Genomic DNA, 12,059 nt, shown 5'->3' on the forward strand with positions numbered 1-12,059 from the left:
AAGTGACAAGGATTAAGAGAAGCTTTTGGAGATAGTGAATTCAGTGAATTTTCTGCCCTGGCCCCATGCAAGCATCACTGGGCCATTGTGTTGGCACGGATATCGTAGAGAGCATTTAAACACCGAAAGCTGAAGACTCTTTTACCCTGAAAGTCTCAGAAGCTAATGATTCATTTGCAAATTGTTCCATTTTCCACTTTCTTTGCTTAGGTGGACACTGCTTACAAACCACTGAAAGAATGTCTGTTTATATGGTAATTTCCCACATGGATTGAGCCATCATCATCATCACTTTTTCTCAAAACTCTTTATGCTCTCAGTGCAAAAGCTTAATGTAGCCAAAATCGCTGTGTAGGAAATATGGCAGACATTCCAATTTACCTTGACATAGGCCACAATCTTCAGGGAAATAGTTGCCAGGTAGAGGGAGTTCATTGCAAAATCCATCAGGTTCCACCAGTCATGGATGTATTCAGTAAATCCACCATCCCACATTTCCTTAATCTCACCCCAAATGAAACCTGAAGAATGGAGGAAAACAGTTTATTTCTACATAGGGTCAGCCCTGCTCATCATAGAAGGATTCCCCCCTCCAGGTGAATAAGGATGAAATTAAGGAATGAATTGGGGTCTCAGTGGAGTGAAGCCTTGAGAGACAATAATCACTTGCTTTCCTACTCCACCTCCCAGTTTTGAACTTGCCAAACCTGGTAGGCTTTTCCTGAAAATGCCCATATGTTATACTTTTCTGGGTACTACTCTTAGCATTTTTACTATAGTTACTGGAATGCTGTTGCAATTTTGGGTGCCTGATTCTACTTCCTTTCCATTTTGGAATGGGAATAATTTCATCAATAAATTAATTAGATCAGTATTATCCCATAGTCCTTAGTTTCCACTGGGTTCAGGAAAGAGAACTTCTCAATGTGTTTTGAGGTGAGCAAGCTGATCATGGATCAAATTACCAGATGTTGGGGCTAAAGCTAGGCAATGGGGCCCAAAATAATTTATAACTCATTTTTTTTTCCTTTTTTCTCTCATCATGTAGAAGTTTTGTAAAATTTTACCTGATGACATAGATGTTTCTTCTGCCTTGGAATAAAGAAAATAGTAAAAGCTGTGGCTGTGGTCTAGGGCTGCACTTTCTCAGACTTTAAAGTACATGTGAATTACCTGAGGATCATGTTAAAATTCAGATCCCGGGTGGCACCTGAGGTTCTTTGTGTCAAATAATCTCCCAGGTGGTACTGATATTGCTGGTTTGGGGACCACAGTTTGAGTAGCAAGGACTTAGAAGATGGCCATGTGTTGAAGAGTCCAGTGCAATCTAATTATGCCTGGAGACTACTGGTAGGGCTGCTTTTACCATGATGTGTGAATTTCCCAGGTTTCCCCCTTGGTTGTGAAGTCAGTGTCCAAATAGGATGTAGACCCTGAACAAGAACTGGGTCGTGTGGAGTAGCCATGAGAAATGAGCAGATTCATGTGCCCCTTGGTTATGGGAAAAGGTGCTTTGAATAGACTGATCAGCACTTGCTCTGCTTACCTTACTTGAGGCCTGTCCTGACTGATACTTGGCTTTGTCTCTAGACTAACTGACAGACAGCTTCTCTGTCCTTGAAGATATTAAGTTAGCAAAAGCAAGCCCTAGGTGTACTGCCAATCTCACCATGGACCAGTGCCCGGGACAGAAGGAACTACATTTCTGAGACTCTCAACAAAGGACTACCACACTGCATGGGGGTGGGGTGGGGGTGCCCTAGTTCAGAGCTAGTCTGACTGCCTGTTCTAGTAGTTTATTTAAACAGGACCATCAGGCAGTCTGGCCATAGGTCCTGGTCCCTTTGACTTACCTAGAACCCAAGGCAATATCATCCATTCCACGACAGTTGGGGGAGGCCCCTGTACATGAAGGTCTGTCCTGACAATGTGCTGAGAAGCCAGGAGAAGCATAAAGAGGAAGGTCAAATAGGATGCTGTGTGGCAGATAAACTTGATAAAGGGTTTCTTGATGAACAGCCCAAGGTTGCTCCTGGGTGAGATCAGGTAGGCTATAGACAGCATGGGAAACAGGAACCCAATGGTCATGCAGGTTAGAAGCTTGACTACCCAGTGTTTCCGCCGCCATCCAGGGAAGCCATCATACCACAGGGTGGCAAGCAACTGTTGGCAGTTGGGCTGAGCAACAAACTGGGAAAAGAAGAAAACAAGTTAGGCATCTGGAATGTCCAGGAGAAAGTCTACTGTCATAATACCTTTCCTAGTTTACAGTCAGCTCTGGCAAGGAGTTACATGGCCAATCCCCAGAAGAGGCCTGTTTTCTAGGTGCCTGTGAATGCATCTAACCCCGGAGACGGCTCTTCATGTCAAACTATGAAACTAGATTTTCCTTAGTGTTCATTATTTTTTAATATATTAAAACAAAATCACTCTGTCTGGTTCATGCTTTGGCATACCTTCCTATTGTCCCTCCCACCTTGTCAGAGTTGTGCTTCCTCAAACCTGGTTTTACATCAGAATCATCCAGGGAACATTAAAAAATCTAAATCCCCAGGTCCTTCCACAGACTGACTAAATGAGACTCTGGGGTGTGGATGGAGGAGAGAGTAGAGCCTGGGTAGCTGTTTTACAAACTCTCCTGGGAACTTACATGCCTTTTAGCAGAGAATCATGGAGATATTTCATTTCAAATTGATTCACATCCGCTCATTCCCTTAGTCTACGTGAGGTCATCATCAATGTGCACTCTGTTTGGGCAAACACAAACTGGCAGGGAATAAGCCCATGCCTGTAGCTAGGGTTTGAAATGAAAATGAGTTCTCTGTTATATTTTGTTTTTATTTTTCTTGATTTTGTTTTGAGCACCTCTTGGTTAGCTTGTAATGAATCAGGTTGCTACTGTGCCATCTATTTAACTCCGTCTCTAGTCTAGACATGCAAAAGGAAAAAATATTTTGGGGCTGGCATTACGATATTGTATACTAACCCAGCTGGGATTTTACTCAAAGGCAATCTACAAAGTGTCAGTGATTAATAATTAAGGAATCATCAGCATTGCAAATCATTATCCAGCTGCTACTTCCTGGTAAGTGACTCAACAGGGAGCTCAACTGTCAACTATGATTTTAAATACTGCCTACATTTGACTACCCCAGCTTCCCATGGGACAGGTTAAACAGAGCTGCACCATTTAGCTTACTAGTACAAAGGAAATAAACCTCTTTCATCATTTACCCAACACCAAAGGTAAACTTGCCTAACTTTACTGTTAGTTTATCTGTGAAGGTCACTAGTTTCCCAGCACAACCATTCTTCTTCTCCTTGAGCACACAGCTGGACTACATTACCCAGGCTCCCTTACAGTGAGGTGTGGCCACATGACTAACTTCTCACTGTGGGAAATGCTGTGTGGCACTACCAGGTCTGGCCTATAGAAGTTTCCTATGTGTGCTCCTCCATGTTCTTTTCCTTTTCTGACTGACTGGGATGTGATAACCTGGTGTGATCTAGGGGCTTCTGTCAGCCCCTGTCCCTCAATAACCATGTTAGCAGAACTAGCCTGCTGAATAAGAATACCTGTTTTGGACTGTTACGTCACGGAGAAATTTCTGTTGTGTTTGAGCCATTATATATTTTGGAGTCTAGCCTGTCCTAAAGAAGATTACTGGTATGAAACTACCAAAAATAAGCTCTAAAATGTTTTCATCCTGTGATGTCATTTCCTCCAAACATGTTCATGATCTCCATTATGTCCTCACACTTCCCTTCCACGCATTCATACACAAAAAGACAATATCCTATAGTCCCTTTCTACTCTTTTTTTTGCCACAGTAGCCTATGCCAAAGGCTGGGATGATGAAGTCCAAGAAAATACAGAAAAGTCAGAGTAAAGCAAGACCTTTGCAGTAGAAGAACTGCTGGGAGCTCAGTCTACTGAGGGAAACAGAAGCACAAAAGGAGAGTTATACAATTGTATAGTAAGGACACCGAAAACGATATGAACATGGCATAATGGGAACACAAGGGAGGGACAAATCTGGATTGCTTAGCGAAGGCTTCCTGGAGTAGGTGATACCTGACTGGAGCATTAAAAGATGTGCAACAGTTGGCTAGGTGTGGGAGAGGAAAAGAAAAGAGAGTAAACCGCCAGAGCAGAGAGGATCGCATGGCTAAGGCATAGAGGTGAAAAAGAGCCTGCCTTGTATGTGGAGGGCTACAGCAGTCAGGGTGGCTGCAGCTTAAATTGCAAGTCTGTGAATGGCAAGAGACCAGGCTGGAGAGGTAAACAGGGGTTAGAGAAGATCAAGACGATGGTCTTTGGCCATTAAAAATAGTATGGACTCAGCTGGGCACGGTGGCTCATGCCTGTAGTCCTGGAGCTTTGAGAGGCCAAGGCGGGGAGATTGCTTGACGCCAGGAATTCAAGACCAATCTTGCCAACATGGTGAAACCCGTCTCTACTAAAAATACAAAAATTGTGGGGCGTGTTGGCGTGTACCTTAATCCCAGCTACTTGGGTGGCTGAAGCAAGAGAATCGCTTGAACCCAGGAGGCAGAGGCTGCAGTGAGCAGAGATAGTGCCACTGCACTCCAGCCTGGGTAACAGAGTGAGCCCTGTCTCAAATAATAATAATAATAATAATAATAATAATAATAATAGAGGCCGAGGCGGGCAGATCACTTGAGGTCAGGAGTTTGAGGTCAGCCTGGCCAACATGATGAAATCCCGTTTCTACTAAGAATACAAAAATTAGCTGGGCATGGTGGTGTGCGCCTGTAATCTCAGCTACTCAGGAGGGTGGGGCAGGAGAATCACTTGAGGGCAGAAGGTGGAGGTTGCAGTGAGCCGAGATTGCATCACTACTGCACTCCAGGCTGGGCAGCAGAGCGAGACTCCATCTCCAAAAAAAAAAAAAAAAACCATAGGATGAACCATTTTAAGAGCAATGAGAAGCCATAAGAAGTGTGTGTGTGTGTGCGTATGTAAAGTAGTATAATAAAGCAGTTGCAACTGGCTCTGTTGTTTACTAACTGTGCAACTGAACAAGTTCTACTCTGTTTTTTAATGTCTTCCTCTAAAGAATGGAGATAATAATATCCACCTTGTAGGGTTGGTGTGAGGATTAAGATCAGTTACTACATACGAAGTGCTTAGAACTATGCCTGGCACATAGTAAGGGCTCATTAAATCTTAGCTACATATATTATTATGCATGTAAGAAAATTAGATTTAGATGTTGAAAAGATCCTTCTGGTTACTGGGTGGAGGATGGATTAGAAGCAGAGGGCAGTCAAAACTAGAGGCAGAAAGATTAGTTAGAAAACTGTTGTCAATCTTGAACAAAATGATGGTGACTTAGACTAAGGAAATGGCAGTGGAAATGGAGAGATGCGGTCAGATTTGAAATGCAGTGAGGAGGTAGAATTGGCAGGATGTGCTGATGGATGGGGAATGGAGTAATGGATGGGGTGTGGGAGGTAAAGGGGAGGGAGGCTTCTCATTCAGGTGAATTGGTGATGATAGTGCCATTAACTGACAGAGGGAACACTGAAGATGAAATAGGTTTATGGAAGTGCATGCCTTTTTAAGACTGTCAAATTAGATTTGTCTGTGAGACATCTAAATGGAGATATCCGGATTGACATCAAATACTGATGTTATGTGGCAGGGATTAGCAGATTTTTCTGTAAAGGGCCACATAGTGTGGCTTTGCAGGCCACACTGTCACTGTTGTAGCTACCCAACTCAGCTGTTGCAGTGCAAACTCAGCCATAGACAATATGTACATGAATGGGCTTAGCTGTGTGCCAATAAAACTTTATTCACACAAACAGGCAGCAAATTGTAGTTTGCCAAACTCTGTCCTATGCTACTGCATCAGCCTGAACCAAACAGACATTTGGAGCTCTTCAGCAATGGTCTTGATGACCTCATGTGACTTCCCCTTATGTATTCCCAGAAACTCCAACCCCAGAAATCACTTTCTGCTAAGGCACAAATGCAGAAGTGAAGCTTCTTTTAATGGTGGATATACCATCCAACCTTTATCTTCAATGCCTCTGCTCTGATTTTCAATTTGGCTCAAGCTGGGCAATTTTAAAGTTGGACAGGTTTTTATCTTCTATTTTTATATCTGACAGAAGTAGTGTAGGGTGGTGTGGATTCTGGCAGAACAAACTGCAATTAGAATATGATAAAGGAAATTTTTATTAAGCCACCATGTAGTATCTAATCTAAACACATTTGTGAGCTTTGAAAGCACAATCCTGATTCTGCTTGCATAGTGAAGTTCACATTTGACAGATTATTTAATCAATCTCTAGTCGATTCTAAGAACGCCTCAGAAAGAAGAATTACAGGAAAAACTGCAGAGTGCGTACCCACTAGATGCCTCATTGCACAAAAACCCGAACTGTCCAGAGCCTGGAGCAGTAGGTTTTTATTTTAATGAAGTCCAATTTGTAGTTTTTGTTGTTGTTGTAAGAATTAAGGAAAGAGGAGAAACAAGAAGGTCGGCTCGACAGTCAACAGGTTTACTTCCAACCTGGGAGGGACGTCTGATTGAGTTAGGTCAGAAGTAGCAATCTCTTACAGACTAAGAGTTTTTAAGGATTCAGGGTGGGAGAGTTATCAGAGGCTTGGACTGCTTCTGTGTCTCTTTGTTGTGCTTATCTGGGAGGGAGAGTTGTGTGTCTGTTCCCCTACATCTTTGTGCAGCTGCAGGAATATCCCTCGAGTCTGCTTTTGGCTTCCCTATCTTAGTGTACCTGAAGGGAAAGGAATGTGCTTATTAAGGGCCACTGTTTTACTGGAGCCCATTGTATGAGGGTGAAGTTTGGCAGTTACCCAAGAGACTTTCCCCTGCCTTCCTCTGTGCCCCAGCCTTCTTATCTGTGTTTTACTGTCTGCTCTTTTTTGGCTGCTTGTAGTTAGAAAAGAAGTGATTTCCTTGAAATGCATGAAGCTGGAAAGGCAGCTGGAACTTAAAGTGGCGGTGTTTGTCTGAGATGATGGTGGTCCTGCTCTGTCATTCCAGACCCTACAGTTATAAAAGGACAAGGGGCGACGTGTTCTTTCTGGCTACTTCCTGCTGATGGGGGGAGCAGAAAGTTTTTTGGTCTTGGATTGACTGCAGGAGCAACACCGTTTGTAGATGTTTTTGGATAGTTGTCTGCGAAATGGCCATGATTCTGTTGGCTTTTATGATTTCCAGCTTAAATTTTTTTTTTCATTGTTAGGACGTTTTCATTGTTAGCCCCAGAAGGGATGTTAGAGGTTGCTTTCTCAGCTCTTTAGGCTTTGACTTGAGTGTGATGTATCCAGGGGTCGATTTTGGTAATGGATATAATTTAAACTGTAGAAGATAATACAAGTTGAAAAACATTAGGCAAGACTAGAATTTAACAACAGGTGTGCTATAGTTTTTGAAACATAATTTTTACTTTTCAGTTTCCTATTTTTATTAAAAGACAAATTATGGTAGCAGTGGTCTGCTTTATTATATTTGGCTTAATTATTTGTATACAATGCACCAAGAATAATTATTTGCCACACAGGCCTTTTAAATCGGCTTTGATGGAACTCTGTTATATAGAAGGAATTTGAGATAAGACTTGTTAAAGCCAAGCCCAGCCATGTATTTGTACCATTAAATACCTATGAGTTGGGTGAATTCATTTCTTATTAAGGTTTTAAGATAACTTGGGGTTCCTGGCCTGTCAGAAAGTGACATTCTTTACTTACTACAGATCAGAAATCCTGTACAGGGACTATGTACACAAAATATGAGGCCAGTTTCCAAGGGTTTTATTCGTTCCGTAAGTCAAGTTTGATTCCTTAAAGGAGAGCACACCATTGCAGTAAAAGCCTTGGTAAAGTAACCAGTTTTTTTTTTTAATTGTGTTCTGTTAGAAAAGAAAATAGATTCTTATTGCATTGATGCAAACAACTATATCGTTGTAATTTAAGAATACCTACAACTAGTTTTTTTGTTTGTTTGTTTGTTTTTTGAGACGGAGTCTCGCTCTGTCGCCCAGGCTGGAGTGCAGGGGCGAGATCTCAGCTCACTGCAAGCTCCGCCTCCTGGGTTTACGCCATTCTCCTGCCTCGGCCTCCCGAGTAGCTGGGGCTACAGGCGCCCGCCACCACGACCGGCTAATTTTTTTGTATTTTAGTAGAGACGGGGTTTCACCGTGTTAGCCAGGATGGTCTGAATCTCCTGACCTCGTGATCCGCCCACCTCGGCCTCCCAAAGTGCTGGGATTACAGGCGTGAGCCACTACGCCTGGCCTACTTATAGCCAGTTTTTAAATTCTAGAGGAACTAGGCAGAGAGAAACAAACACGCTTTAAATTCTATTCACAGGAGTATACTTTACTTAGTTGTTAAAGCTGTAGCTAGCTTAAGACAAGTTTTCTTGACTCTGAAAAATGAGATAAAGATTAGCAGTGTTCTAAGTAAAAGGTAAAAATTGGTTTTTTTATTAGTTTATTCTATTTTATTAACCTTTGTTTTGCTTTATGTTTATAAACATTTTAGCTTTTTATGAGTTCTGTACGTTTTGTTGTTGTTATGAGTAACCTACATTTGAGAGCATTTGTTAAAGTTCCAAAGCTTGAATATAAACAATGTTTTGAAGAGAATTAAAACAAAATAACAATTGTCTGTAAATAACAAAATGTCCAGTTTGGATACAGTTAGAAACACAATTGACAAAGAAATTTGGTTATTTTTGTGGCTTACAATAACCCAACATAACAACTTTAATTGTGATTAATAGCACATATTCAGACATAAGAACCTTAGACATTCCATACAGTTTTGGAACATATGTTAATAATATTCCCTAAAATATAATGTATTAGACATTATTTTCGCAATTTTATGTTGCCAAATAATCCTGTTTACCTCTTTTTTGGATGGTTCAGGGGTCCTGTGCAGCACCCAAAAGCCAGTGGTTAGGAAAAACAACCTTGAAAGTAAAGTTTGATTTTGAGAAGGCTGTTAAATATGTTTAAAATTTAAAACCCTTGATATTATGAAATAGAACTTTAGATTATCATAAGTTGTTTTTCTGTTTGTTTGTTTTGTTTTGTTTTGCCAAAATGAGATAACAATCTGGAAAACCAAAAACCATTTATTAGCCTTTTCAATTACATGAAAATTGTGTTTAAGAGAGAAAGTTAAATTTTACCCTTGTGTTAGTTTGCTATTAATGTTAACCTTAATTTTAATGAAACCTTATAGATAATTCTGTTTAATTTTAACCAGTTTGACCATGAAGTAAGATTTTTACATACCTGTTATAACCCTTGACAAGTTTTGCTTAAGAGTAGATTAGCATTTTAAGAAAACTTTGTGGTGCTTTTATTTTAGTGTTTAATTTACAGAAAAGACATATAATATTCTTTTGAGTTTAGTTAATGTGTTTACACAGAGTTTTATTTGCAGGATTAGTTTTTATAGTGTCTTTATAATTTGCTTAAACCATCCACTTTATTTTATTTAATTTTAAGACAATTTTTTATTTTTAAGCAAAATGTACATTTTTATGCCTTCTTATAATTTTTAAGAAAAACAATTTTTAGTGTTTTTATACACCTTGCATGCAAATTCATGTTTAGCAGTTTTAATTACACGTTATAATGGTAACTTTTAGCAACTTTTAACTTTAATGTAAAACCTGTTAATTTTTTTTTGTGACTTGACACTAAAAATAATGACTTATTTTGTAATTTGGGCAAAGTAGCGCTGAAATATAATGCTTTTTTCTTTCGATTTTAAATACCTGGGTAAAATCGGAAGATGAGTACTTAGGTAGAAATAAGTAACTACTGAACCGGTGGGAGCAAAGTTTAGTTGAGCAATACTCTTTATGATACTGACAAGTGAAGCCTTATTAGTTCCAAAAGTGCTGGCTTTATTTTTATAGTCACAGAGTAGTCTAAAGGCAAGGCTTACCCAGCTCCTGGCTCCCACATGAACATTATTTATTTAGTACGCCAGATTTTTTTTCAAGGTGCACTAGCCACTGAGGATATTTTTACTGGTGGGAACTGAGATTTTCTAGATGCATAAATTAACTGCTAATGCTGGTTTATTTTAGGGACATGTTCATTGAAACAGTATTCTTACTTAGCTTGAATCCTAAATTTTGTTCCCTTATTATCTCGTTAAAGTGATGGATATGTTTGTACAATGAAGACAACTTTTTTTGCATTTTTAGGTTAGAGCTTCGGCATGGGAATTATACTTTGACACAGAAAATTAGGTCTGTAAGTGAAATATAATAAAGTGTTCTGGAAAGAAGGATACTCTGCCTTACAACCTCAAGAGAAAAATATATGGCACCAAGGCCTGATTCTTTCTTCCCTTATTGTTTTTTTATTTTCCCCAACTTTGGGAACTAAAATCTCTTCGCTTAAATGCTGAAATTATAAATTGAAACAGACTCTTGGGTTTTGTTATAAAGGCAAAGTAATAATACTTCTATGTATTTTATAGGGTTATATAGTATAATAACTGGAATCCATGGTTAGATTTGACTGAAGCTACATAGATACTAATCTGACAGACTTACTGTTGTCATATCTAAGAAATCATTGCCCAATCCAAGGTCACAAAGACTCACACCATTGTTTTCTTCTCAGAGTTTGATAGCTTTAGCTTTTATATTTAGGTATTTAATCCGTTTGCATATTTTGTGAGGTAGAGGCCCAATTGCATTCGTTTGCATGTGGATATCCATTTGTCCCGGCACTATTTTTTGAAAACACTACTATTTCCCCATTATATTGTTTTGACACCCTTGTTGAAAGTCAATTAACCATAAAGGTAAGAAAAATTTGGAGAATGTTACCATTTTAACAATATGAAGTCTCTAGTCCACGAACATGGAATATCTTTCCACTTACGTAGATCTTCTTTAGTTTCTTTGAACAGTGTTTTCTGGTTTTTTTCAGTGTACAAGTCTTACACTTCTTTTGTTCAATTTATTCCTAAGTATTTAATTGTTTTTAATGCTACTGTAAATGGAATTGTTTTCTTAATTTCATTTTTGGATTGTTCATTGCTAGTGTATAGAAACTGTCAAAAGACAAAATCTCAACAAATTTAGTTATAGATCTAATTGGCTTTTTTCATGATGTATGAATCAGGGAAGCCTCCATTCTACAAAATAGAATGAGACATTCCATTCTACTAGGCAATAGCAGAACAGTGGGTTTTGTAAGGTGGGAAAAAGGAAAGAGAACATAGGGGAAAAAAAATCGGTTAACATCAGGTTACTTTTTTTGGCAAGGGTTAAAACAGAGGCATCTTCCATATTACATGGACTCAGGTGGAGTAGAATCTCCTATTTTCAGGAAAAACTGGTCTGTTTGGGGATGTACCTGCTTTCTTAAAGTTTTAGTTTGATTATATGGCATTTAGCAGGTGATTCCATTTTGGTTTGGTCTGGTCTGTTGGGGCCTAGTATGGGAGCTCAGTCCAAAACAATGGCCTTCCATAATTTTTGTTGAACAAAACATGATTGATTTTGTATGTTATCTTGCAACCTTGCCCAACTCATTTATCAGCCCTAATAATTTTTGTTGTTGATACCTTAGGATTTTCTCTGTACAAGGTCCATGTCATCAGTGAATAGAGACAATTTTAATTCTTCCTTTCCAAACTGGAAGCCTATTATTTCTTTTTCTTACCTAATTGACCTGGCTAGAATCTTCAGTATGATGATGAATAGAAGTGCTGTCAGTGGACATCCCTGTCTTTTTCCTGATGTTAGAAGAAAAGCTTTCAAGTTTCCTATTAAGTGTGATGTCAGCTATGGGTTTTTAATAGATGGCCTTTATCAGGCTGAAGAAATTCTCTTCAATTCACAGTTTTCCATGTGTTTTTATCATGTAAGTTTGTTGAATTTTGAAAAATGCTTCTTCTGTGTCAAATGAAATGATCATGCATGGTTTTGTCTTTCCTTTCATTAATGTAATGTATTACATTAACTGATTTTTGTTATGTTGAATCACCCTCATATTCCTGGGATAAATTCTACTCAGTCATA

The 12,059-nt window shown here is 39.2% G+C and overlaps 1 protein-coding gene across 3 annotated transcripts in view; it reads right to left on the reverse strand.

Annotated features, from left to right (window-relative positions):
• Positions 1 to 12,059, reverse strand: part of TRPC5 (transient receptor potential cation channel subfamily C member 5) — a 314,766-nt gene that overhangs the window by 83,906 nt on the left and 218,801 nt on the right. For all 3 annotated transcript variants that reach the window (NM_012471.3, XM_017029774.2, XM_047442413.1), the window contains 2 exons: positions 1,854 to 2,190; positions 382 to 521 (listed from right to left, as the gene is read on the reverse strand). In NM_012471.3, the coding sequence (NP_036603.1) occupies positions 382 to 521; positions 1,854 to 2,190 (477 nt within the window). The remainder of the gene's footprint in view (positions 1 to 381; positions 522 to 1,853; positions 2,191 to 12,059) is intronic.

This window comes from Homo sapiens, chromosome X (assembly GCF_000001405.40).
Source record: "Homo sapiens chromosome X, GRCh38.p14 Primary Assembly".
In the NCBI taxonomy this organism is placed as follows: Eukaryota; Metazoa; Chordata; class Mammalia; order Primates; family Hominidae; genus Homo; species Homo sapiens.